The sequence below is a fragment of the Homo sapiens genome, chromosome 15 (assembly GCF_000001405.40).
Source record: "Homo sapiens chromosome 15, GRCh38.p14 Primary Assembly".
NCBI classification, from domain to species: domain Eukaryota; kingdom Metazoa; phylum Chordata; class Mammalia; order Primates; family Hominidae; genus Homo; species Homo sapiens.
In genome coordinates this window covers 76,276,695-76,304,565 of record NC_000015.10, presented here as the reverse complement: position 1 = coordinate 76,304,565, position 27,871 = coordinate 76,276,695, and the positions used below count along the sequence as shown (strand labels likewise).

General features: G+C 39.8%; 1 protein-coding gene across 3 annotated transcripts in view; it reads left to right on the top strand.

Annotated features, from left to right (window-relative positions):
• Nucleotides 1-27,871, top strand: part of ETFA (electron transfer flavoprotein subunit alpha) — a 96,117-nt gene that overhangs the window by 6,904 nt on the left and 61,342 nt on the right. For 2 of the 3 annotated variants that reach the window (XR_007064434.1, NM_000126.4), the window contains exons 2-8: nucleotides 8,829-8,975; nucleotides 11,866-11,947; nucleotides 12,053-12,135; nucleotides 16,621-16,720; nucleotides 18,085-18,195; nucleotides 18,828-18,929; nucleotides 20,741-20,809. Coding sequence is in view for 2 of the 3 variants with exons in the window: in NM_000126.4 (NP_000117.1) it covers nucleotides 8,829-8,975; nucleotides 11,866-11,947; nucleotides 12,053-12,135; nucleotides 16,621-16,720; nucleotides 18,085-18,195; nucleotides 18,828-18,929; nucleotides 20,741-20,809 (694 nt within the window). In the remaining variant the exon portion in view is untranslated. The remainder of the gene's footprint in view (nucleotides 1-8,828; nucleotides 8,976-11,865; nucleotides 11,948-12,052; nucleotides 12,136-16,620; nucleotides 16,721-18,084; nucleotides 18,196-18,827; nucleotides 18,930-20,740; nucleotides 20,810-27,871) is intronic. The other variant, NM_001127716.2, reaches the window with a different exon arrangement.

The window sequence follows — 27,871 nt, the reverse complement described above, 5'->3', positions numbered from 1 at the left end:
CAGCCTTCCAAGTAGCTGGGGCTACGGGAATGCGCCACCACATCTGACTAATTTTTTAATTTTTATCTTTCATAGAAACAGGGTCTTACTGTATTGTCCAGGCTGGTCTTAAACTCCTGGGCCAATTTTAGGTTTGCAGGGTATCTGTGCAGATTTATTATGAGTAAACCGTGTGTCCTGGGGGTTTGATGTACAGATTATTTTGCCGCCCAGGTAATGAACATAGCATCCAATAGGTAATTTTTTGATTCTCACCCTGCTCCCACCCTCCACCCTCAAATAGGCCCAGGTATCTATTGTTCCCTTCTTTGTATCCATAGGTATTTGATGTTTGGCTGCCACTTACAAGAGAGAACATTCCATGTTTGGTTTTTCTGTTCCTGCATTAATTCACTTAGGATAATGGCCTCCAGCACTGTCCATGTTGCTCTAAAGGACATGATCTCATTCTTTTTAATGGCTGTGTAGTATTCCATGGTGTATATATACCACATTTTCTTTACCCAGTCCATCCCTTGCATGGGCATCTAGGTTGATTCCATGTCTTTGCTACTGTGAATAGTGCTGCCATGAACATGCACATGCATGTATCTTTATGGTAGAATGGTTCATATTCCTTTGGGTATATTCCCAATTATGGTATTGCTGGGTCGAATGTTCTAAGTTCTTTGAGAAATCGCCACATTGCTTTCCGCAGTGGCTGAACTAATTTACATCCTCACCAGCAGTATATAAGCGTTCCTTTTCTCTGCAACCTTGCCAGCATCTGTTGTTTTTTGAGTTTTAAATAATAGCCATTCTGACTGGTGTGAGATGTCTCATTGTGGTTTTTATTTGCATTTCTCTAATGATTAGTTAATGTTGAGCATTTTTTTATATGCTTGTTGGCCACATATGAGAAGTGTCTGTTGATGTCCATTGCCCATTTTTTAATAGGGTTGTTTTTTGCTTGTTGATTTAAGTTCCTTATAGATTCTGGTTATTAGACGTTTGTCAGATGCATAGTTTGCAGATTTTTTTTTACCATTCTGTAGGTTGTCTGTTTACTTTGTTGATAGTTTATTTTGCTGTGCAGAAGCTCTTTAGTTTAATTAGGTCTCACTTGTAAGTTTTTATTTTTGTTGCAATTTCTTTTGGAGTGTTCGTCATGAAATCTTTGCCAGGGTCTATGTTCAAAATGCCATTTCCTATGTTTTCTTCTTGGGTTTTTATAGTTCGAGGTCTTACATTTAAATCATTTTTTGTTTGTTTGTTTTTTGAGATGGAGACTTGCTTTGTCACCCAGGCTGGAGTGCAAGGGTGCAATCTTGGCTCACTGCAACCTCCGCCTCCTGGGTTCAAGCAATTCTCCTGCCGCAGCCTTCGGAAGAGCTGGGATTACAGACTCCTGCCACCACGCCCAGCTAATTTTTGTATTTTTAGTAGAGACAACAGGGTTTCACCATGTTGGCCAGGCTGGTCTCGAACTCCTGACCTTAGGTGATCCACTCGCCTCGGCCTCTCAAAGTGCTGGGATTGCAGGTGTGAGCCACTGCACCTGGCAGAAGTTTTTTTGTTTTGTGTTGTTTTGTTTTTAAGTAGAGTTTGGCCTGTGTGGTAGTACACATCTGTAGTCCTAGCTACTCAGGAGGCTGAGGCAGGAGGATCCCTTGGGCCCAGGAATTGGACGCCAGCCTGGGCAACATAGAAAGACACTGTCTCTAAAAATAAAATTTTTTGAAAATAGACTTTATGTTTTAGAGCAGTTTTAGGTTCACAGCAAAATCCAATGGAAAGTACAGAGAGTCTTCCTGGTCCACACACCCACAACCTCCTCCACTGTCAACATACAGCACCAGAGTTGTCCATTTGTTACAATTAATGAATTTACATTGACATCAGCATTTCCCAGAGTCCATAGTTTACATTAGGATTCACTCTTTGTGTTGTACCTTCTATGGGTTTGGACAAATGGATAATGACAGGTATCTACCATTATTATATCATACAGAATAGTTTCACTGCCCCCGCCCCCACTCCCCCTGGAAAAAACAAAACAACAACAACAAAAAACCTCTATGCTTTGTTCTCCTAATCCCTGGCAGTCACTGATCTTTTTACTGTTTCTATAGTTTTGCGTTTAACAGAGTGTCATATAGTTGGGATTAGACAGCATGTAGCCTTTTCAGACTGTTTTTTTTTTCACTAAGTAATATGCATTCAAGGTTCCTCCATGTCATTCTCATTTCTTGTTACTGCTGAATAAGATTCCATTGTATGAATATTTATTCACTTACTGAAGGACATTTTGGTTGCTTCCAAGTTTTGGCAGTTATGAATAAACCTGCTGTAGACGTCTGGTTTTTGTGTGGACCTAAGTTTTCAACTCATTTGGGTACGTACAAAGGAGTGCAGTTGCTAGATTGTATGGTAAGATTATGTTTAGTTTTATAAGCAACTGCCAAACTGTCTTCCAAAGTGGCTGCACCAGTTTGCATTTTTACCAGCAATGAATGAGAGTTTCTGTTGTTCCACATCCTTACTAGCATTTGGTATTGTCAGTGTTTTGGTTTTTTACCATTCTAATAAGTGTGTAGTGGTATCTCGTTTTAATTTGCAATTTCCTAGTGAGCATCTTGATGTTGAGCATCTTTTCATATGCTTCTTGGCCATCTTCTTTGGTGAGGTACCTGTTCAGATCCTTTCCCCCTATTTAAATCAGATTGTTCATTTTTTATGTTGACTTTTAAGGGTTCTTTATTTTTTTTAGATAAGTCTTTTATCAGATATGTCTTTTGCACATATTTTGTCCCAGTCTATGGCTTGTGTTCTCATTCCTTTGATGAAGAGGTGTTTGTTTTGTTTTGTTTTGTTTTGTTTTGAGATGGAGTCTCTCTCGCCTAGGCTGGAGTGCAGTGGTGTGATCTCGGCTCACTGAAACATCCACCTCCAGGGTTCAAGTGATTCTTGTGCCTTAGCCTCCTGAGTAGCTGGGACTATGGCGTGTGCCACCATGCCCAGCTAATTTTCGTATTTTTAGGAGAAATGGGGTTTCACTCTACTGACCAGGCTGGTCTCGAACTCCTGACTTCAGGTGATCCATCGGCCTCGGCCTCCCAAATTGCTGGGATTACAGGCGTGAGCCACTGCGACTGGCCAACGAAGAGTTCTTTAAAAAAAATGTTCACTTCCCTTATTGGTGTCAGCTCTGTGCTGGATACTGGAGTCTAGGGTTATAGTGGTAAGAAATATCAGACATTGCTCCTGTACTCAGTATCAAAGGGGGACGAGAAGACAATCAGGTGAATATGATCAGGTGTGATAAGTGCTGTAATGAAGGCAATTACAAGGTACCATGTTGGTGCTAGCAAAGCTAACTAGTCCGAGACGGTCCAAAGAAGGCTTTTATGTGTAGCTAACATTTATTGAGGATTAATATGTTCCAGGCATCATTCTAAGAGCTTTACATTTATTAATTTAACCCTCACAACAACTCTATGAGATATTAATATTATTATCATCATCTCCATTTTACAGTCAGAGAACTGAGGTACTGAGACGTTATGGTGGAGGTGGGATTCAAACCCAGGCAACGTGGCTGGCTCCAAAGCCTGTACTCTACCACTGCAACTGTACTAATGCTTTTTGGAGGAATTGACCTTTCAGCAGAAAACCTAAGGATGATTAATTGGAATTTAGTAGGGTAACAGGGAAAGAGGTCCACTAGGCAGAGGGAGCAATGTGTGGGAAGGCTGGAAGTCTGAGAGAGCAGGGCAAGTTCAAGTATCTGAAAATAAGGCATAAATGGAGTGAGGGATATATGGTTAGGGAGGTAGATCACGCCATAAAATAAACACATGATAAACCAACCTAAGGAGTCTAGTTTACCATATCCAGAGGAGGCAGAAAGCAATAGCAGTGTTTTAAGCAGGGGAGAATAACATGTTAGATTTGTGTCATGGAACGATCACTGAGAGAAATAGATTGGTAGGAAGCAGAATTGTAGGTTAGAAACAAGCTGGGTTGGGAGACTCTGTGGGGTAATAGAGGAGAAGGATAATGGCCTGCACTAGGATATTGGCATTGACGATGGAGAGAAGTGAATGGATTTAGGAGTAGCTCTCTTTAGAAGGAAGAATTGTTATGACTTGAGTGGTTGGTTAGATGTAAGGTTGAGAGAAAACCCAGACATGATTCTCTGGTCATGGTTGGGGCAGATCGAAGTCTGGAGAAGTAGCAGTATGGGGAAGGGGCTGGAGGAACAGAGGGAAAACATGAGTTAAAGTTTAAATTTGCTGAGATGGAAAGTGTTTGATGAGACAGGCAAGTTAAGCACTTAGATATACAGATGTAACCATATTATAAGTCTAGCACTTAGGAAAGAGCTTTGAACCCTATTTGAGATTTATATATATAAAATATTTGAGCCACTCTTCTATAGGGGTTAAATTAAGCCATGGAAGGCAGAAGGGAGTAGTCAGTAACTTTAAACATTGCTGAGATAACAAGTAACATAAAGCCTGAAAAGGGTTTGTTGGTAATTTGGGTGAGGGCAAAAACCAGATGCAAGTAATTGAGGAGGGAGTGAGAATGAGGAATTAGAGAAGCTAGAGTTGAATGTGGGTTTGTGGCTTTTTAGCAGGATTGTTGCAAATGGGGAGAGCCTCAATCATGTTTAAATGTTGATGAGAAGGAACCAGGGTAAAGGGAGAAGCTGGAGACATGACTGGGAAGTGTAGATTACAGTCTCTGAGTAGATTCGAGAGAATGGAATCTAGATCCCAGATGAAGGGATTAGACCCAGGAGAAAGGATCCACAGCAGCTTCCATTGTGATAGGGCAAGGACAGGAATTGTAATAGGGCAGGGACAGGAATTTCTATGTTGAGTATCAGAAAAGGAAATCAGGTCCCTTGATGGCTTTAGTTGTCATTGTGAAGTAGGAGGTGAGGCTACCTTCTAAGAGTAGGGGGCAGAATGTGTTGGCAGTTTAAGAAACATCAGGAGGCAGGCACAGTGGCTCATGCCTGTAATCCAAGCACTCTGGGAGGCCAAGGTGCGAGGATCGTTTGAGCCCAGGAGTTCAAGACCAGCCCAGGCAACACAGCAAGACCCTGCCTCTACAAAAAATAAATAATTGGCTGGACATGGTGGCGTGTACCTGTGGTCCCAGCGACTTGGGAGGCTGAGATGGGAGGAACGCTTGAGCCTGGGAGGTTGAAGCTGCAGAGAGCTGTGATTGTGCCACTGTATTCAAGACTGGGTAATAGAGGGAGACTTTGTTTCCAAAAAAGAAAAAGAAGAAACATCAGGAGAGGATATTTGAAATCATTGCTGTGGAGGGTGAGAGTGCGAACAAGGAAGTTGTGGTAGCATTGCTAGACAGTTTTGAGAGCCCAGGTAAGGCTGATGACTAAGAATTTATGGATGGCATAGGCCTGCATAGTTAATTTTTATTTAAATAGCAGTGTTTGAAGAGATCGAGATTCCTTTTGAGGCAATTACCTCGTTAAGTATTTCAATAGTTATCTTTAAATGTTTAAGAATTTGGCTCCTTTTCCTCTCATAACTATTGTTAAAAGAGGATTGATCCTAAAGTGTAGAGAGGCAATGGGTTATAAAATAATAAAATGAAAATTTGTTTCCTTTAAAACGTTTTCAATAATGGACATGTATTTTTTTACTCTTTAGTCATATTCTGTACTACTCTTCTGCTTAAAATAGGATTTTAGAGTTATAGAATTTTTAGAGCAGGAAAAGAGGTCTTTTGAGATTATATTTTTCTTTCTGACAATGCTATTTTTTTTTTTAAGCACAAGAATGTTTGCCAAGTGCAATCTTAGAGGAATGACCCATGTATAAAACAGCTAAAAATGGTGGTGCTTTGATGTGTGCTGGTAATTAGGAACTCAAACTGTGGAGTCAGACTACCTGGACTTAGAATAACCTGACTCTGCTTCCTACCTGTGTAGCTGCTAAGCTCCAGTTTCCTCATCTGTGAAGTCAGAGTAATACTAGTACCTCCATCATAGACTTTGTAGGAATTTTAAATAGGATACTATGTATAAAACTGCTTAGCACAGTGCTCCATCAATGTTAGTTTGGTTAATCTGGTTAAAGCAAAGTTGGGTAGGGGGGCATTCTAGCAGCTGTACATGCCTAGTCCCTACCTTATCCCATGTGGTGGCTCCTGAGATAGCTTCCTAGAACCCTTCTATAGATGCAGTTTGAAAATCTCTAATCTTGGCTAGGTGCGATGGCTCAATCTGTAATCTCAGCACTTTGGGAGGCTGAGGCAGGCAGATCATTTGAGGTCAGGAGTTCAAGGCCAGCCTGGCCAACATGGTGAAACCCCACTCTCTACTAAAAATACAAAAATTAGCTGGGCGTGGTAATGCATGCCTGTAATCCCAGCTACCTGGCAGGCTGAGGCAGGAGAATTGCTTGAACCCTGGAGGCGGTGGTTGCAGTGAGTCAAGAGCACGCCACTGCACTCTGGCCTGGGCAACAGAGCAAGACTCTCTCTCAAAAAAAAAAAAAAATCTCTAATCTGATTCATCCTCCTAAATTTGCAGATGGGCTTTAGATTGTAGAATAACATTTTAAAAGTTCAGGCCAATTTCTTCTGCTCTAGGTTCTACACAACCGCTATTGCTGAATTAAGCCGCATAACCATGCCTAGAGGCTGTAGCTTCTCTCTAGGTGGTATCTGAGAAATGGAATGTAAAACATTGAATTAGAAGGAAGTTTAATATTTTAAAAATTATAGAGGAGTCAATAAAATAGAGTACCTTTATGATGTATATAATGCTTAGTAAAAATCGATCAGCTAGATGGACTGAGTGGGTTCTTAAATATGTTCTTTTGTTGTTTATGCTTATAAATCTAATTTTGATAAATCTTTTAAAAAGTATATATAATCTCCAGTTGGAAGTTCTAAAAGCTTGATGGTTCCTTAGGATAACTACTTAATTTATCTTATGATAGAACTATAATTTACAGCAAGTATGGGCCTTCTGCCACCAAATCTTGGATTTTTTCTTCAAATGGTGATGGAAATCTCATAATTTTTATGGCAAATGATGTGTGAAACATAATAAAAAATATGATGCCGGATATATATTGGTAATAAATAGCTTGTTACTGGCAATTCTTGTGAAATGTGATTTAAATAATTTAAATTATTTTTTATTTTTAATTATTTTATTAATTTTATTTAATTATTTATTTATTACAAAGTCCTTTCCAAAATATGATGCTCTTCCAACGAAAAAAGAAAGGGTACCATATAATTAATTCTGCAGATGTACATTGGAAAACAAACATTGTATTTGATTCTGGGGATACAAAATATAAACAGGTATGGTATTTGCTTTCTAAGAACTTTCATTTCATTCCAGGAACTGTCCTGACTTCCCTTCAATTCATACCCTCCTTTTAAGTTTCCAGCTCTGGGTAAATTCCATGCTATGCTTTCTTCACTCCAGCTCCAGAGCTTAAGGTTATTGCTGAATTAAGCCACGTAACCATGCCATTTGATCCACAGTTCCTCTTTTTCTCACTTTTCTTTGCCATTTTCCATAAGAATAGTTCCAAGATTTTATTTTTTCCTTATGCCTATGGTGCCATTCCTCATCTTTTCACATGATAGAACACCTGAACTTCCTTCCTTCCCCACTTGACTGTACTTCATGATCTGTAGCCTTCAACATTTTGGATCTCTTCATTATTTGAAAAACTGTTCTATTTTATAATTGTATATGAACAAGTCTAATTTCCTGTGAAATATACAGGGACCATTCTTGTTCATCTTTGTGTTCCTTGTGTTTAAAATTATTCCACATGACCATGAATGATTGGTGGTTTCTTGATAGTCTGCATTAGATAGGGCTGGATATTGGTTGGTTCCAAGATACTGTCTGCAAGCTTCCTTTTTTGAATCCAGAAGCATATTTGAACAGTCAAAACCTGGCAAAACTGCTGTTTAGTGTCATATTTTAAAAACATATTTCCATTATCAATTATTTTGGTATTGAATGCATTTTGACTGAAACAATAGGGATCAACTTTCGTGACTGATTTCAAACCCATTATTTGTGATTATACTGTACTCCTATACTGTAGGAGTACAGTATGTAACCAAATGTAATTGGTAGTAGAATTTGACCAGTTCCTAGTTAGGTAGTTAATATGTTCTGTTTAAGGAATTTACATTTAGTTATATAGTAGTTTCTTATCAGATGTAGATTAGTGGGAAAGTTGTTTTGAAGTAATTAAACATTTTTCCTAACAATAGAAGGCTAATTTGCGTTCTAATTTTTATTAGATAAGAATATTAGTAGGCCAGGTGCGGTGGCGCATGCCTGTAATCCCAGCACTTTGGAGGCCGAGGCAGGCAGATCACGAGGTCAGGAGATGGAGACCATCCTGGCTAACACTGTGAAACCCCGTCTCTACTGAAAGTACAAAAACAAAATTAGCCGACATGGTGGTGGGCGCCTGTAGTTCCAGCTACTCAGGAGGCGGAGGCGGGAGAATGGCATGAACCTGGGAGGTGGAGCTTGCAGTGAGCCATGGTCGCACGCGCCACTGCACTCCAGCCTGGGCGACAGAGCGAGACTCCATCTCAAAAAAAAAAAAAAAAAAAAAAAGAATATTAGTGGTACAGTGATAGACACAAATAGCTAGATTTTCGCTATAGAACAAGTATTTTATAAATAAATTTATAGAATAATATTGTGTACAGAATAGTTTTCTTTAAAGCATACATGCTTAACAATTAGTAAAAAAAAAAAAAAAAACCCTGTGACAACATTCTTTACCTTTTTTTTTCCTTTTTGCTCTTTTTAGGCCTCATTGCTACGATTTCAGAGTACCCTGGTAATAGCTGAGCATGCAAATGATTCCCTAGCACCCATTACTTTAAATACCATTACTGCAGCCACACGCCTTGGAGGTGAAGTGTCCTGCTTAGTAGCTGGAACCAAATGTGACAAGGTGAGAAATTTTTAAGGTCAGCCATAGCAAATATTATCTCCATCAAGAGACAGGAAAAGATGGCAACAGAGAATTATGCTTAGGATTGTAACCCAAACTGGGCTCTAATCCTCATTAAATGGTCAGTGTCACAACCATTACCATGTGTGAAAAAGGAACTAAAAGGTTTCTTCCCTAAGCATTTTATCTTTTGAAATGCAGTAGAATACTTGATTTAGTTCCACTGGCACCATCATGTGCCATCAGGTACCAAGTGGAATGATAATATTTGAGTCCCCTTAGAGGTTAATAGCTGATCTCTTTTTTGTGTTGATGAATATACTTGGTAATTGCTTCTAATTCCTGAAAGTGGTAAATCTGGACAAAGTATTATGGATGTTAATTTTTAATTGGTAGAAGAATTTGAATGTTAAGTACTATTCTTTCCAAACTCTAGCTGGTACTAAAAGATGTTCTTGGGTTTGTTTGTTGTTGTTGTTGTTGTTATTGTTGAAATCAGATGATAACAGCTTGGAACACTAACCCTCTAGAAAGGTGCTATGATATGATTTGCAGGGTCTATACCACCAGCCTGCAATATAGATGAGTGCTTCAGTTAAGCTTACACACCTTCAGCCACCAGTTCCCTCTCACATGGTATAGGAGTTGCTGAGTGTGTAGTTGGGGGCTTAAACTTCACAGAGGAATAAATCTGAAGGGAGTATGTTTTGAGGATTTTATGTTTTATTAAATAATTGATGCTGGCTGGGCATGGTGGCTCATGCCTATAATCCCAGGACTTTGGGAAGCTGAGGTGGGTAGATCACTTGAGGTCAGGTGTTTGAGACCAGCCTGGGCAACATGGTGAAATCCTGTCTCTACTAAAAATATAAAAATTAGCCAGTGTGGTGATGCATGCCTGTAGTCCCAGCTACTTGGAAGGCTGAGGCACGAGAACCACTTGAACCTTGGTGGCAGAGTTTGCAATAAGCAGATATTGTACCACTGCACTCCAGCCTGGGTGACAAAGTGAGACTGTGTCTCAAAAAATATATTAAAAATAACAATAATTCAGAGCATGTGATAATGGAGGTTCATACTGCTGGTGTTGCTTCTGTCTAATTTTTTACATGAAATTGATAAAAGAACATATTCTGGTGGGTTTATGATTAGTTATGTGGATTTCTTTACCCAATTCCTGCTAACAACTGTAGGATCTTACATAGTTGATACAGCCACAATGTGTGATGTGTGATGGCTAAGCTATCTATTTGTATGTCTGTATTAGCCACAGTATATGATGGCTAAGCTATCTTTTTGGTTTCCCTGTTTTTGGATATATAGGAATTTGTGATTTGTTGTTTGTTTTGCTGTGATTTAAAATAATTATTGTAATATTACTTTAAAAAGACTTTGATACTTTATACTACTTTGAGAAAAATCAAAATAGAAATCGTCTTCTGTACTCAGTTACAATCCTAACCTGTCATGTTCTAATTTTAAAGAAAACAACCAGTACCTGTATGAAGAGATCGTTTAATAGAGTTCGGTTTTATACCATTTTATTCAGCTACTTGTCATAAACAGCAAGTTATTCTTCTGTATAATGCCAGCCGTTTTGCCAGTAAAAACAAGATAGTTTCAATGGGAAAATTCTGCCCCATTTTCTATCCCATGCTGCTATGCAGCTACATTGCAATTAACTGAGTTTCTTAATTGGAAATTCTCTTAAAGTTTGAGAAGCTAAATGCAGCTGCATCCATAATAAAGGGCCTCTGTAGTACAAATGGTATGCCGGTGAACACTTGGTTTAGCAGAGAATGTATTCTTGCACTGCATCCTTTCTTCAGTGAATATTGTTGCAAGCTAACAGTTCATATGAGGGTGGCACAAGGCACAGCCTTTTAATCCTACTCATCAGTGAATCAATGAATCAGTTTGGAGGTAAACAAGGAGACAGAAGACGATAGTATGACTGATATGACTTAGCTAAAGTGGAAACCAGCCATGAGGTAATAAAGATACTTAAAAAGGGGAAATCTAATTGCCTTCTGAATATAGAAAATCTGAATCATCAAAAAGCTTTCTCAGAACCCCATTCTAATTCCAAACAGGAAAAATGAAGAATTAAAATAGGAAATATTTTGCTTTGTCATAGATAAATATGTGTATGTGGGCAGGAACTCAGTGGTTGACAATGGGATGTTACTAGAGAACTTCATTTTCACCATTTCCAGGACATTGAACTTACACTTGGATTGAACCAAAAGTAAAAAGCACAATTTATAACAAAATTTGAATAAAGAGCCATGTTGATTTTGGTTTGTCAATTAGCACTTTTCTTTTTCAAGGCAGGAATTTTTGTTGAAATGCTTGGTAGTTGGACAGTGTAAGGTCAGTCAGTAGTAAGATCTATTGGCATTAGATTTTCTTTGTTAAGGAATGTATTTTAATATTTTAATTCTTTGTTTGTTTGAGATGGAGTTTCACTCTTTCGCCCAGTCTGGAGTGAAGTGGTGTGATCTTGGCTCACTGTAACCTCCGCCTCCTGGGTTCAAGCCATTCTCTTGCCTCAGTCTCCCAAGTAGCTGGGATTACAGGTGCCCGCCACCATGCCTAGCTAATTTTTGTATTTTTAGTAGAGATGGGGTTTCACCATGTTGGCCAGGCTGGTCTTGAACTCTTGACTCCGGTGATCTGCCTGCCTCAGCCTCTCAGAGTGCTGGGATTACAGGCTTGAGCCACTGCGCCCGGCCGGAATATATTTTAATTCTTAACTGGCCCTTTTGCTAATAAGAATAATTTTTACAGTTGGCCATTAAGATTTTATGATCTGTTGATATTTATAGTGGTGGCTTTATTTGTATATTTCTGATAGATGGATAATTAGGAACTTATCTTTTAATCATAGGTGGCACAAGATCTCTGTAAAGTAGCAGGCATAGCAAAAGTTCTGGTGGCTCAGCATGATGTGTACAAAGGCCTACTTCCAGGTGAGGTTTTCCAGTAGAAAAAAATGTAGTGTCTAAATTACGCTTGAATATATGAATATGAAAGTATTTCAAAATATTTTTTTATCAAATGTGTTTAATTCTCAGAGGAACTGACACCATTGATTTTGGCAACTCAGAAGCAGTTCAATTACACACACATCTGTGCTGGAGCATCTGCCTTCGGAAAGGTGAGAAGGTTGAGAATGTGGAATCTGATATCACTGCTTGAAAGGGTTAGATTTCATTGTGCTGAAAGTATGCAACAGACTGTTTATGTAGCCAATCTGGATTTATCTGAATTGATGTGGTAGTTTTGCTAAAATTTATTCTTTCAAGATTTTGTCATAATTTTCCGTTAAAACTACCATTTCCAGGTTTTCAAATTATGTTGTGGAGAAAACTCTAATTAGGCTATTATTTTAAAATTTTCTGCATGTAAAAGTAATGCTGAATTCTGCTTGCATGTGAGAGAGAGAGTGAACGAGCAAGAGTCATTTCTATTAGTAGCCCATTTTAAGAGATGGTTTATTTGGATGGCTGATGGATATCTAGAAAAGCCAAATTTTATCTACGTAGGGAATTTGGAAAGGGCTTGTGGTGGTTGAAGACATCCTTAAGGTAAAGAAAGCTGTAATCTGATCATGTGCATTGTGATGTGTCTGAAGAATGAGTGTGTTATAAGATGGATAGCAGTCTACATAAAGTTAAAAATGGAGGGAGGAGTGTAATGGGAGCTTAAGACAAGGAATTCGTCAGTGGATTTTTCTTGCTCTCTCTCTGTGGCCGTGGGTGTTATCTTAGCTCTCTTTTCTTTTGTTCCATTCTTAATAAGGTGTCATTTTTAGTCTTTATTTTTACTTTCTTTTTTTTGAGATGGAGTCTCACTGTCGCCCAGGTTGGAGTGCAGTGGCGCCATCTCGGCTCACTGCAGGCTCCGCCCCCCGGGGTTCACGCCATTCTCCTGCCTCAGCCTCCCGAGTAGCTGGGACTACAGGCGCCCGCCAGCTCGCCCGGCTAATTTTTTGTATTTTTAGTAGAGACGGGGTTTCACTGTGTTAGCCAGGATGGTCTTGATCTCCTGACCTCGTGATCCGCCCGCCTCGGCCCCCCAAAGTACTGGGATTACAGGCGTGAGCCACCGCGCCTGGCCTACTTTTTTTTTTTTTTTTTTTCGAGATGGAGTCTTACTTTCCTCGCCCAGGCTGGAGTGCAGCAGCACAATCTCAGCTCACTGCAACCTCTACCTCCTGGGTTCAAGCCATTCTCCTGCCTCAGCCTCCCGTGTGTAGCTGGGATTATAGGTGCGTGCCACCACACCTGGCTAATTTTTGTATGTTTAGTAGAGACAGGGTTTCGCCGTGTTGACCAGGCTGGTCTCGAACTCCTGACCTCAGGTGATCTGCCTGCTTCAGCCTAGCTCTGTTGCCCAGACTGGAGTGCAGTGGCACGATTGTAGCTCAACATACCCTCCAACTTGTGGGCTCAAACGATCCTCCTATCCTAGCCTTCTGAGTAGCTAGGACTACAGGTACATGCCACCATGCCCAGCTAATTTTCAAATTTTTTGTATCGATGTAGTCTCCCTATGTTGTGCGGGCTTGTCTTAAACTCCTGGCCTCAAGTCATCCTCTCATTTCAGCCTCCCAAAGTGCTAGGATTACAGACATAAGTCACTGTGCTTAGCCTATTTTCACTTTTAAAAATTGTAAAATAAGTTGTACACAAATACATCCTTATTAGGAAGACTGCGTGTAGTACAGCAGTGTGCAGAGCAAGGTGTCAAAGTCCTGCTTTCTTATTCCCAACTCACCCTCCCCTCTTTAGAAGTATAGCTGTTAACAATTGTACATTCTTTTAGGCCTCCTTCTATGGATTTTTAAATTACAGTACATGTACAGCTATATATTTTTTACTTCTAAAATGGGATAATATGGCATGAATTGTTTTGTGAATAGTAGCTTTTACTTAAGAGTATGACTTGGGCAGGGTGCGGTGGCTGACGCCTGTAATCCCAGCACTTTGGGAGGATTGTCTGAGCCCAGGAGTTGTAGCCCAGCCTGGGCAATACAGTGAGATCTCATCTCTACAAAAAAATGAAAAAAAAAAATTAGCTGAGTGTGGTGGTGCATGCCTGTGGTCCCAGCTACTTGGGAGGCTGAAGTGGGAGAATTGCTTGAGCCTGGAAGGTTGAGGCTGCAATGAGCTGAGATTACACTGCTGCACTCCAGCCTGTGCTCCAGGGTGACAGAGCAACACCCTGTCTCAAAAAAAAAAAAAAAAAAAAAGAGTAGCGACTTTGGCTCATAATGTTTCTCTTTTTTTATGGCTGCATAAGATTCCATGTTTAGCTAAGGACAGTTAACTTGGTTCCAGTTTTTTGCATTTATATACTTTACTGCAAGAAAACATGGTCATGCATGTATCTGTGTAAACATGGGCTGGAATTTATTTACAATAGAGTTCTAGAGGTGAAATCACTGAGTCAAATGCTATGTAGTTTAAAAATTTTGATACCTATTACTTAATTGTCAACACTTGGTAGTATACATTTTAACATTTTTTCCTCCAGTCTGATGGGTGAAATAATCTTTGTGGACCGTTCTGTCTCTGAGAGTTTTGATTATATATTGGATGATTTAAATAATTTCATGAGCCTTGAGTTTCCTTCTATGATGACAGTTCACCTAACAGAGTGTTAGACCATGAAAGGGTGTTTGTCATTAGCTAGATTTTAGTACTCTGGCCATGATTGCTATGTTGTAACAGATGGGAGTTTTGAGAATAAGGGTCACATAATAGTAGCTGGTCGTGCGGCCTGTAAATGGGTTTGGAATGAGAAACGTCTATCAGAAGAAGCCAAACAATTTGCTGTATGATAGTCCTTCACCAGCTGTGGTTTTGAGATAACACACTTTTATACTTGTCTGCTAGAATTTTAAAATATGTCATTTTTTATGCACAAAAAGAACTCAATTATTGCTTCTTCTTCCCAGAAACCATGCAGGCAGCTTGTTGGATGGGATATATTTTTAATAGGATAGATATCTGTGTACCATCCACCCTCATGATGTTTAGATAGAAGACCAGATCCAGGAAAACATACTTTTAAGTACCATGGTAAAATTTCTTGAAGATATGTTAAACAAGGGATAATGAAAATACAAAAGACATTAAATTTTGAGCAATTTAGAAAGTTCTAAAACTTTTAAAAGAGGCAAAGTCTGTATAACATAAAATTTGTAAGATAATCTGTTCAGCCAAGTAACTATTCCAGTAATAATTCCTGAACAGTTAAAGAAGGTGGTTCAGGAGGAGGATTACTTACTGAAGCTAGCTTTAAATACTGACAAATCTGGTTTTTAAACCAGATTAAGTAGGTGCTTCAGAATGGGCATGGTGGCTCATGTCTGTAATCCCAGCACTTTGGGGTGCCAAGGCAGGAGGATCAGCTGAGGCCAGGAATTCGAGACCAGCCTGGACAACAACGCAAGACCCCGCTTCTACAGAAAAAAACAAAACATAAACCAAAAAATGAGCTGGACGCAGTAGCGTGCGCCTGTAGTCCCAGCTACTCAGGAGGCCAAGGCAGAATAATCTCTTGAGCCCAGGAGTTCAAGGTTACAGTGAGCTATGATCACACCACTGCAAGTTCAGCCTGGGTAACAGAATGAGACCCTGTTTCCAAAAAAAAAAAAAAAGAAGAAGAAGAAGAAGAATTAACTGAGACTTGGGGAACTGTGACTTTCCCAAGGATTCCTGCTGCTGAGGACAAAGTTAGCACATGCATCTATTTCAGTACAAGCACAAGAACACACCTTTATTTTATTTTTGTTGCTTTTTAAATATGTACTACACAGGCTGTTCTTCAGGTTAGTGTTATTCTTTTCCTTTTTTTTTTTTTTCTTTTGAGGCAGAGTCTCGCTCTGTCACCAAGGCTGGAGTGTGGTGGTACTATCTCAGCTCACTGCAACCTCCGCCTCCCAGGTTCAAGCAATTCTCATTCTCATGCCTCAGCCTCCTGAGTAGCTGGGACTACAGGCATACACCACCATCCCCGGCTAATTTTTTGTATTTTTAGTAGAGATGGTGTTTCACCATGTTGGCCACATTGGTCTCAAACTCCTGGCCTCAGGTGATCCTCAGCCTCCCAAAGTGCTGGGATTACAGGTGTCAGCCACTGTACCTGGCCTTACTCTTTTTTTTATACAATATCAATTTAAACAAAAGGTGAAATGTCTGCTGTGAATTTTTTTCTTTTATATACATTAAGTAAATGTATACAAGCATAATCTTTTTCAGTATTTGAGAATTTTACCACCCTTCTAAATTTGTTCTATCTTTTCTTATCTAAATTCAATAATCCACAACTGTCACACTTGGTAATTGATGTTTATTAAATTTCATATCTCATAGTTCAATATATTGCATTAAGGTGGCTTAATACTGTAAAACTCATGAAACTCTTAATGTAGTTAGAGTAATGGTAAGTACTCAATCTCAAAGGCTATTTAAAAAGCTGTGCTTGAAGTTGTGTATCCAAAGGTGCACACGAAATATAAAATATTTGAATTAAAATTTCTACAGAATATGCATTTAGAATATGTCATTACTGATCATTTATAGTCTTCCATCACTATGTATGTGTGTTAACTCACTGCTTATTTTGCTTTTAGAACCTTTTGCCCAGAGTAGCAGCCAAACTTGAGGTTGCCCCGATTTCTGACATCATTGCAATCAAGTCACCTGACACATTTGTGAGAACTATTTATGCAGGTGAGTACTCAAGGAAGATAATTAATCAACATGTTAAATTTTAGTGAAAAGCATAAATTAATCTTGAAGATAGAATTTTAAATCAAACCATACAATTGCTTTAAGTGGACCATCTTAAAGGTTTCTGAGGAAAATTTTAGTCTAGAATTGCTGGTGGCCCTTGACATGGCATTCTCTCTGATGGATCGCAAACACAGAGATTTCCTGCCTGTTTATTCAGTTTGCAGGGTGATATTTTCCTAGTGATCAATAAAAATTAGATTCACAATTTAATATATTTTGTAAGTGGTACCTGGAAAAGCAAAACTTAAAAAAAAATAGTATTCTCAATCTTTGCTGCTTCTACTTCATTTCCATAGGCATTAAGAAATTCATTTTAGCCAGCTGCAGTGGCTCGTGCCTATAATCCCAGCACTTTGGCAGGCTGAGGTGGGAGGATTACTTGAACTCAGGAGTTTGAGGCTATCCTGGGCAACATAATAAGACCCTATCTCAAAAATAAATAAATAAAATAAATTAGCTAGGCATGTTGGCATATGCCTGTAGTCACAGATACTTGGGAGGCTGAGGTGGGAGGATTGCTTGAGCCAGAAGGTCGAGGCTATGGTGAGTTGTGATCATGCCACAGCACTCCAGCCTGGGCAACAGAGCAAGACCCTGTCTCAAGAAAAAGAAAAGAAATTCATTTCAGTGTCTCTTCAGTTGATTTTTTGCTTAGCACACTGGTCTCTAGTGGGGTCGGAGAAGGCAGTGAACTCTTCGTTTTTTGCCTGATTAAAGTTGTGTATTCCAGTATGAATGGCTAATTCTGAAATTAGACTTTTCATCTTCCATAATGTTTGAGGGAAAATATTTTGTCATGGTTTAGGTTACTGTTAATGTGATAGCTAATCCAGAGTGTCTCAAATCCTCTTAAAATCTTAGCACATTCATACCTGTTCTTTATGACCTATTGTGTTTTCAAGATATTCCTCCTTTAGCATGCACAGTAGCTACATTCTTCCTAAGTTGTTGCAGCTCATAGTTTTGAGTTACTGATTGTATTGTTTTTGGAGAAGGAAGCTTTGTTCATATTCCTTTTAGAGGTGTAGTGTACCTTCTTAGTGTGGATGCCTGTTCGAGTTTCTTCCTTCTAGGTGTGGTAGTACCTGTCCTGCTTTTAAAGACATCCAGGGTTATACAGATATCTGCTGATATGTTTCTTCACCGTTATGGTTCATTTTTTCCTATACTTAATAGAGTTAGAAGACAACTGGTCAATAGTTATTTCTTGCCTTGTCTGTGAAGTAAATTCCAAGCATCAAAGGAGTGCTAGTTTTGTTGCCTTTTGCTGTTGCTTTTAAGAAATAGATTGTATGTTTCAGGAAATGCTCTATGTACAGTGAAGTGTGATGAGAAAGTGAAAGTGTTTTCTGTCCGTGGAACATCCTTTGATGCTGCAGCAACAAGTGGCGGTAGTGCCAGTTCAGAAAAGGGTGAGTGTTCATTTGGAGTTTTTTTGTTTTGTTTCTTACTTTTTTAATTCATAGACTGTATTATAATAAGAGATGACCTCTGCCTACATTTCTAATGAATAGTATTTGAAAGTTCAATTTAAATGATATTCCCAAGCTTATACAAAAATAATAAATATGTATAACTTACATCTTTTTCACATTATCTTTGGTACTAGGATAGTTGCTTTGGTAGATCAAGGGAGTGGGAGACAGAGGATCTATTAAGATTAAGCTTTTTTACTCTTGTCACTGTTTCCTATTATATTTGGGTGATTCAGTATAACAGAAGAATGTAATAGGAAACGTGTGGAGGGTGTCACACTTTAACATATATAGTGTCTTATTTGAACCTCATAGAAAGAAAGTTATTCTATATTCAGACTCAGAGAATTGAATGATTTCTGGAGTCATACAGCTAATGTGGCAAAGGCTGGAATCTAGTCTCCTTAAGTCTTTCCATTATCAGAGAGAATTAATTAGGAGCACTGAAAATTCACAGTAATTAACTTAAATTTCGTGGAATTATATACTTGTGTGTTTCTCTTGAAAATAATTCTTGTTATAGAACTTGAAATCATAGTCATTGTTTTATTATGTATTAATGTATGCAGCATCAAGTACTTCACCAGTGGAAATATCAGAGTGGCTTGACCAGAAATTAACAAAAAGTGATCGACCAGAGCTAACAGGTGCCAAAGTGGTGGTATCTGGTGGTAAGTGAAATATTAATCTTAAAAGATGTAAATTGAAAATACTTTGATTTTTTTTTTTATTTTTAGTATTTATTTTAGAAGTACACAGATCTTTTTCAAATGTAAGAAGTTGGGAAGTTTGGGATATTATTCCCATTTAACCAATTAGGAAAATGAAATTATGAGCATAATACACAGTTTGGGGTTTCTGTTGCACACCTAGTCACTGGCACCAGGGGGAGCATGGTATAAATCTTATCTGCATAACTTTGCCACTTGGTGCCATCTTATTGATGGACTTCCATGAATTCTGCAGAGTATGGTTGGCTTCTCAATTATAGATAGAACTGGCTTGAATTTCAGGGCCATCTTGTGTATAATTCCTACCCTTCTTTCCACTTGGAAAGATTTCCAGAGTTGTCCATGTCTTTGTGTATAACTCTTTAAAAAGTTTCTTAACATTTAATATCAAAACTGTTAATATTGCATAAGACATGCTTATTTTTATACATCATGCTCCTTGTCTTTAAAAACAATGATTTTTTTATGGCCCACTGACTAACTTTTTGAAAAAATAAGGACTGTTATGCTTTTTAAATCCTTGCAATTAAACATCCAACAAAATAAGCTTTCAGACAGCCTTCTATTGCAAGTATCATTGAGAAAAAAAAATTAATATTTTGAAGTGATATATCTGACTTGTTTTTCGTTTTCTTTTTTTCTTTTTGAGATGGAGTTTCGCTCTTGTTGCCTAGGCTGGAGTGCAATGGCACAATCTCTGCTCACCGCCACCTCCACCTCCCAGGTTCAAGCGATTCTCCTGCCTCAGCCTCCCGAGTAGCTGGGATTACAGGCATGTGCCACTACGCCCAGCGCGGTGACTCACACCTGTAATTCCAGCACTTTGGGAAGCCGAGGCGGGTGGATCACCCGAGGTCAAGTGTTCGAGACCAGCCTGGCCAACATAGTGAAACCCCGTCTCTATTAAAAATACAAAAAATTAGCTGGGCATGGTGGTGGATGCCAGTAGTCCCAGCTACTCAGGAGGGTGAGGCAGGAGAATTGCTTGAACCTGGGAGGCAGAGGTTGCAGTGAGCCGAGATCGCACCATTGCATTTCAGCCTGGGCAACAAGAGTGAAACTCCTCCTAAAAAATAAATAAATAAATAAATAAAAATAATAATTTTGTATTTTTAGTAGAGACGGAGGTTCTGCATGTTGGTCAGGCTGGTCTCGAAATCCTGACCTCAGGTGATCCGCCCACTTCAGCCTCCCAAAGTGTTGGGATTACAGGTGTGAGCCACCGAGCTGGGCCCTGACTTGTTTATTCACTTATTTATTCAAGAAATGTATATTGGTTATCTGTTCTATGACAGGCTTATTGCCAAGTGCTGGAGAAACAGATGAAAAGGCAGAATGTTCTTCCTCTCGAGGAGTTTAAAGTCCTTGAGATGACTCCCATTCAAATAATAACTTTATTCAGTCATTCAGAGAAATTTATTGAGCATCTATTATATGTAGAGTTTTGCTAAATATTGCAGATATGGCAGTGACCAAGATAGATATAGATCCTGAAATTAAAGAGTTTTTATTCTAGTGGGAAAAAAACTCATATTAATTACACAATTAGTTAACTAGGTAATCATAGTAGTGTTGAATGCTTTATAGAAGTATAGGAGTGTCAGAGGCCAGAAAAGGTTTATAGAGGAGGTGACATGCTTAATATGGCAGTTACATAATATGAAAATTTACTCCAGTATATAAAATAGCAAAATTGTTCCAGAATGTATTTGATGTTTGCCTAATTTTTTTTTTTCATCTTTTTAAATGAGGTCGAGGCTTGAAGAGTGGAGAGAACTTTAAGTTGTTATATGACTTGGCAGATCAACTACATGCTGCAGGTAAAGTTATTTTCCTTAGTAGAAAGATATTCCCTTTTTGTTGGAAATATTTTTTCTTCATTATTTCATTTTTGTGTAAGTCTTTCAGCCCTACAAATTATTTTACTTTTCCGGATTTTTCAGTTTTTCTCTCTGAACCAGTTTTTCTTAAGCCTCCAAGTAAATGGTATATAGCATTCAGTGAGGAGAAGGCCTCCTAGTATCTCTTACCTTTGCCTAATCTTAGTAGGTTTTCTTTTTTCTTCACTTTAAAAATAATGAAATGGGCCAGGCGCAGTGACACACACCTGTAATCCTAGCACTTTAGGTTGCTGAGGCAGGAGGACTGCTTGAGCCCAGGAATTTGAGACCAGCCCTAGCAATGTAGTGAGACCCCATCTCTACAAAACGTTTAAAAATTAGCCAGGCATATTGGTGTGTGCTTGTAGTCCCAGGTACTCAGGAGGCTGAGGTGGGAGGATTGCTTGAGCTTGAGAGGTGGAGGCGACAGTGCACTGTGGTCGTGCCACTGCATTCCAGTCTGGGCAACAGAGTGAGACCCTGTCTCAAAAATAATAAAAGACAAAATAATGAAATGTTAGTTTCAGTGCCTACTTCAGATTCAGGAATACCCTGGTTTTTCATCTTTTTTTTGGTGGTCTTAATATAACTCTTATACAAATAGAAATACATTTAAAGTTTTTAAGTTTGTAGTTAAAAATATAGAATTGTAGTTAACCATTTATAGGTAAGGTAGAACCTATTGCTAAAAGTACATTGATGAGAAGGGAGTGATGTTTTTTGAAAAACCAAAAAAATTTAAGCCAGGCACAGTAGCATGTGTCTGTAATCCCAGTTACTTGGGAGGCTGAGTTAGGAGGATTGCTTGAACCTAGGAATTTGAGACCAGCCTAGGCAACCTAATTGAGACCCTGTTTTGAAAAAAAATCTTTTTAAAGACATTTGATTATTTTTGAATTACACAATCACTACAATGAATATATATTAAAATGTCCCAATTCTGTCATCTCACCCTCCTTTTAAGACTTTAACATATAACTTTCGAGGGTTTTCCTGTAACTTTCTGTGGTTTTCCTGTGCGAAATTTCTATTACATAACACGTGTACCCATAGAAACAGTAATAGTTTTGTCAGAATAAAGGCATTATATTGACACTGTATAATCAGATGGTAGTATTTCAGGGTTTATTTTCATTCCTTCTTTCTTTGAACAAGTATTTATCAAGTGTCTGCCATATTCCAGGTACTATTTTAGGTGCTATTAGTTTATTTTGGCTACAGTAATAAGTTACTACAAACTTGGTGGCTTAAAGCAACAAAGTTTTTCTCTCACAGCTTTGGAGGCCAGAGATGTGTTGAAGTGTTAGCAGGGGCCATACTCCCTCTGGGGGCTCTAGGAGATAATCTGTTATTTTCCTCTTCCAGCTTCTGGTGGCTACTCTGATATCCCTGGGCTTGTGGCCACATCACTACAACCTCTGCCTCTGTCTTCATATCATCTTCTCTGTGGGACTGCATTCAGTCTCCTTCTGTGTCCCTCTTATAAGGATACATGGCAGGCGTGGTGGCTCATACCTGTAATGCCAGCACTTTGGGAGGCCAGGGTGGGCGGATCACCTGAGGTCCGGAGTTTGAGACTAGCCTGGCCAACGTGGTGAAACCCCATCTGTACCAAAAATATAAAAATTAGTTTGATGTGGTGGTGCACACCTGTAATCCCAGCTACTTGTGAGGCTGAGGCAGGAGAATTCCTTGAACCTAGAAGGCGGAGGTTGCAGTAAGCTGAGACTGTGCCACTGTACTCCAGCCTGGGTAACAGAGTGAGATGCCGTCTGGAAAAAAAAAAAAAAAAAAAAAAAGGATACGTGTAATGGCATTTAGGGCCCATGTAGATAATCCAGGATAAACTCCCTCTCAAGATCCTTAGCTTTATATATATCTGCTGCCACGTAGGTAATATTCACAGGTTCTGGGTATTAGGATGTGAATATATCATTGGAGGGGCCATTTTCTTGCCTACTACAGACACTTAACACCATAGATTAGTAAATAATATAATATGGGCCAGGCGTGGTGGCTTACGCCTGTAATCACCTGAGGTCAGGAGTTTGAGACCAGCCTGGCCAACATGGGGAAACCCCGTCTCTACTAAAAAATACAAAAATTAGCTGGGCGCAGTGATACGTGCCTATAGTCCCAGCTACTTGGGAGGCTAAGGCAGGAGAAACGCTTGAACCTGGGAGGCAGAGGTTGCAGTGAGCAGAAATCATGTCACTGCACCCTAGCCTGGGCAACAGGGCGAGACTCTGTCTCAAAAAAAAAAAAAAATGTTAGAGAGTCGTAAGTGTTAGGGAGACTAATAGGATGGGTTATGGGGGGTGGAGAATTGAAGGGAAAGATTGAAGTTTAAAATAAGATAGCCAGATTTGGCCTTAATGAGAAAGAGACATCTGGCTGGGTGTGGTGGCTCATGCCTGGAATCCCAGCACTTTGGGAGGCCAAGGCGGGCGGATCACTTGAGGCCAGGAGTTCAAGACCAGTCTGGCCCACGTGGTGAAACCCCGCCTCTACTAAAAATATAAAAATTAGCTAGGTGGGCGGATTTCTTGAGGCCAGGAATTCAAGACCAGCCTGGCCGACATGGTGAAACCCCACCTCTACTAAAAATACAAAAATTAGATGGGTATGGTGGCACGTACCTGTAGTCCTAGCTACTCAGGAGGCTGAGGCGGCAGGATCACTTGAACCATGAGGTGGAGGTTGCAGTGAGCTAAGATTGTGCCACTGTACTCCGGCCTGGGTGACAGAGACACTGTCTGAAAAAAAAAAAAAAAAAAAAGACATCTGAACAAAGGTTTGAAGGAGGTGAGGAAGCGACCCATGAGGAGATCTGAGGGAGAGTGTTCCAGACCAGAGCAACTAGTAAAGTGCACAGAGCCTGTCTAACGCAGGAACACATCTGGCCTATTTGACGAATAGGAAGGAGGCCAGTGTTGGAATGGAAAGTGCAAAAGAGAAAGTAGCAAGAGATAAAATTGGGAGGCAACACAAGACCAGATCACATAGGGCCTTATAGGACATTGTAGAGATTGCTCTTTCTCTGAATGAAATGGGGAACCATTTCAAGGTTTGAGCAGAAGAATGACATGATCTAACACATTTTTAAAGGATCACTTTGGCTGCAGTTTTGTGAATAAGCTGTAGGGGGTAAGTATAGTAATGGGGAGATCAATTAGCAGGCTATATCAGTCGTCTAGGTGGGAGATACTCATAGTTTGGACCAGGGTAGTTGCAGTTGATGTGGGGAGAAATTGTCAGTTTTGAGATATATATTTGAAGGTAGAGCCATCAGGATTTCCCGACAGATTGGATGTGGATTATGAGAGAAAGTATTTTTCCTGGCGAGTGGTAGGATGGAGTTACAGTTAGCTGAGATAAGGAATATCTCGAGTGAAGCAGTTTCCAGGGAGAGATCAGGAGTTCAGTTTTGGGCATATTAACCTTTGAGATGTCTAATAACAGACATCTGAGTAGACATGTCAGTTAAGCAGTTGGTATAGGAATGTGAAGTTCCATGGAGAAGTTTGGGCTAGAGGTACATATTTGAGAATCAGTTCATTTGGATGATATTGAAAGCCATGAGACTGGATGAAATTACCAAGGGAGGGAGTGTAGATAAAAAAAGAGGTCCCAGGCCAGGTGCAGTGGTGTGAGCCTGTAGTCCCTGCTACTCTGGAGGCTGAGGCAGGAGGATCTCTTGAGCCCAGGAGTTTGAGGCTGTATTGTGTTATGATTGTGCCTGTGAATAGCTACTGCATTACAGCCTGGGCAACAGAATGAGACTTTGTCTCTTAAGGAAAAAAAAAAAAAACTCAGGACTAAGCCATAAACCCTGTATGATTGAGAGCTAAGAGAGAAAAGGAGAAAGAAGACCAAAAAGGAGTGATAAGTTAGGCTAGATAACCAGGGCAGAGGCTATGTTTTGGAACCCAAGTGGAGTGTTTCATTGAGGGGGGAAAAAATTGATCAACTATGACACACACTGCTAACAGGTCAAGGACGGTGAGGACTGAAGATTGACTATTGGATTTAACCACTTAGACATCGTTGGCCACTGAGCAGTTTCAGTGGAGTGATGGAAGCAAAAGTCTGATTAGAGTGGGTTTAAAAGAACAATTCTGGCCAGGTGCAGTGACTCGCACCTGTAATCCCAACACTTTGGGAGGCCAAAGTGGGAGGATTGCTTAAGCCTAGGAGTTTGAGACCAGCCTGGGCAACACGGCAAAACCCCGTCTCTACAAACAATATCAGAATTAGCCAGGCATGGTGGTGTGCACCTGTGGTCCCAGCTGCTTGGGAGGCTGAGGCAGGAGAAATCACTTAAGCCCAGGAGGTTAAGGCTGCAGTGAGCTGTAATTATGCCACTGCACTCCAGCCTGGGTGACAGAACAAGACCCTCTCTAAAAAAATAAATAATAAAAGGCATAGGTAGTGGTTACATGGTTGTCTTCACTGTATGATAATGCTCTTGAGCAGCACATTTGTCTTTTTCTGTGTGTAGGTTATATTTTAATGAAAAGGTTTTTAGAGATAGAATGGGAGGGCTGGAGTTGGAGACAGTGAATACAGATAACTTTTTGAGGGATTTTGCTATATAGGGAAGCAGGGAAATGGATGGTAGCTAGAAGAGGAGTCTGGCCAACAGGGGGACTTCATAAAGCTGGGACAGGTAATAACATGCTTCTATGCTGATGGGAATGCTCCAGTAGAGAGGGAAAAGTAGTCATATTTTTTCTCTTCACTTTTTCCCCTTCCCTTCACATACTTTTTCACTTCACTCAAGGACGTCACTCCCTTATTCTCCCTCAGTAATTCTCCCCTGAGGGAAGTCAGAATTACTGGAATGATGTCCTTGAGTAGACAAGAGACAATGTGGACATAGCTGCAGGTGGTGGGTAGATGTGTTACTTGGAGCATGTGGAAATTCTCTTTTGATCCTTTCAGTTTTTTTCAGTGAATAAGAAGCAAAGTCATCAGCTGAGAATGAGGATGCTAAAGAGGTATAGGAAGTTTGAAAAGAAGAAAATATATGAAATTATAGTTTAGGAAACAGCTAATGAAAGGACTGGGGGAACTTAGTATAACTGCCAGGAATTAAGGTTTATTTATTTAGAGGAAAATATACTTCACATGGTTGGATATTTGGATGTTTTCTCCAGTAATGCTGAACTACAGGAGAAGAGCTATGGAAAAACTGGAGAGGTTGCTTAATCAGCCGGAAGAGGGAGGTTTTTCTGAGTGAGTGTGGTGTGATATAAGAGGAGAACAAGGAAGTTGAAGGCATAGCAAAGGAATGGTTAGAATGATTGATCATAGAATTTAAGGTGGGCAAAAACAAGAGGACAATGGGGGAGAGTTAATAGAATTGTAGATTACAGTGGGGTCAGAGGAATGTTGGAGGTGAATGTCTGCTGGAAAGAGGAGGTCAGAAAGACGCTGAAAATTGGGAGTATTAAGCAATCTTGGTAAAGAAAATGTCTAGGATATGATCATGGGTGTGGCTGAGGTAGGGTGGTGGGCAAGCTCACTGGAGGAGAGTTGTTCAAATCTCCAAGTGTTGAAATCTCCAGGAATTAAGATAAGACTAGTGTAGGTCTTTTGGTTTCCAATCTGGCATATAAGAAGCTTGGAAGTCACTATTCTGTCCTAACAACAAGTAAAAAACTGAACAAACTGAAGAATCAAAACTCATCTTAGATCCATAGGAGAAGTGAGGTTGCATGGCAAACTGCTGTCCCCCAAACTGGAGAGACCAACAAGCAAATACAGATAATCACAACTTCCCAGAGCAGAAACCCAAAAGTAGCAACCTCCACAGGAGCTGGTGGTGGGGTAGGGGGACTTGAAGTCTTGTTGATGAATTGTTGGAGGTTCCGTGTTAAAAACTCCAGGTGGGCAGGGCACGGTGGCTCATGCCTGTAATCCCAGCACTTTGGGAGGCCGAGGTGGGCAGATCATTTGAGGCCAGGAGTTTGAGACCAGCCTGGCCAACTTGGCGAAACCCCATCTGTACTAAAAATACAAAAATTAGTTGGGCGTGGCAGCACGCACCTGTAGTCTCAGCTACTTGGGAGGCTGAGGCAGAAGAATCGCTTGAATCCTGGAGATGGAGGTTGCAGTGAGCCAAGATCGTACCACTGTACTCCAGCCTGGGCGACAGAGTGAGACTCTGGTTTTTTGTTTTTTTTTTTTGTTTTTGTTTTTGACAAAAAACTCCAGGGGTATCCAGTGTGAGGTCCCAACATTTTTGTGAATTTTACCTTCAGGAGCTCTTCCACATGGTGAAAATTAGAGAAAAATCACCTCATGCTTCCGACAAGGGGACGGGAAAGGGAACCATTTTAAAATATGCCAGAGCATTCTGTTCTTCTTAACAAGGTCTGATCTCCTTCAGGAGGAACTGTTTAACCAGAGATTAACTTGTGGGGCTTTATCAGAGCCTAACTGACCTGAGGAAAGGTAAATACTCAACTTCAGCCATTCTAGCCATCCTGTCCCACCTAAGGGAGAGAGAGGAACTGAGAAGCATGTGTAAAGTTCACAGTCTCAATATGGTCTTATTGAGGTACGGTCTTAGTAAAAGACCAAGACGTCACCATAGGACTGTAGAATGCTTCCTTTCCCCCAACACCTTACCACCATGTAATAAAGGCTTATTGACAGCACTTCCTTTTACCCGTGTACATCATGTTGGGCTATCAAGAAAATATTGCAAGATATACTAAAAGGTAAAAGACAGTTTGAAGAGACAGAGAAAGCATCAGAACCAGACTGAGCTGGAATAATCAGACTGGAAATTTAAAACAACTGTGATTAGTATACTAAGGTCTCTAATGAATAAAAAGCAAGCAAGATGTGCAATATAAGCAGAGGGCTAGAAATCCACGAAAGAAACAGAAATGCTAGAGATAAAAAACATTGTAGCAGAAATGAAGTATACCTTTTAAGGACTTCTTAGTAGACTGGATATGGCCGAGGAAAGAATCTCTGAGCTTTAGGATA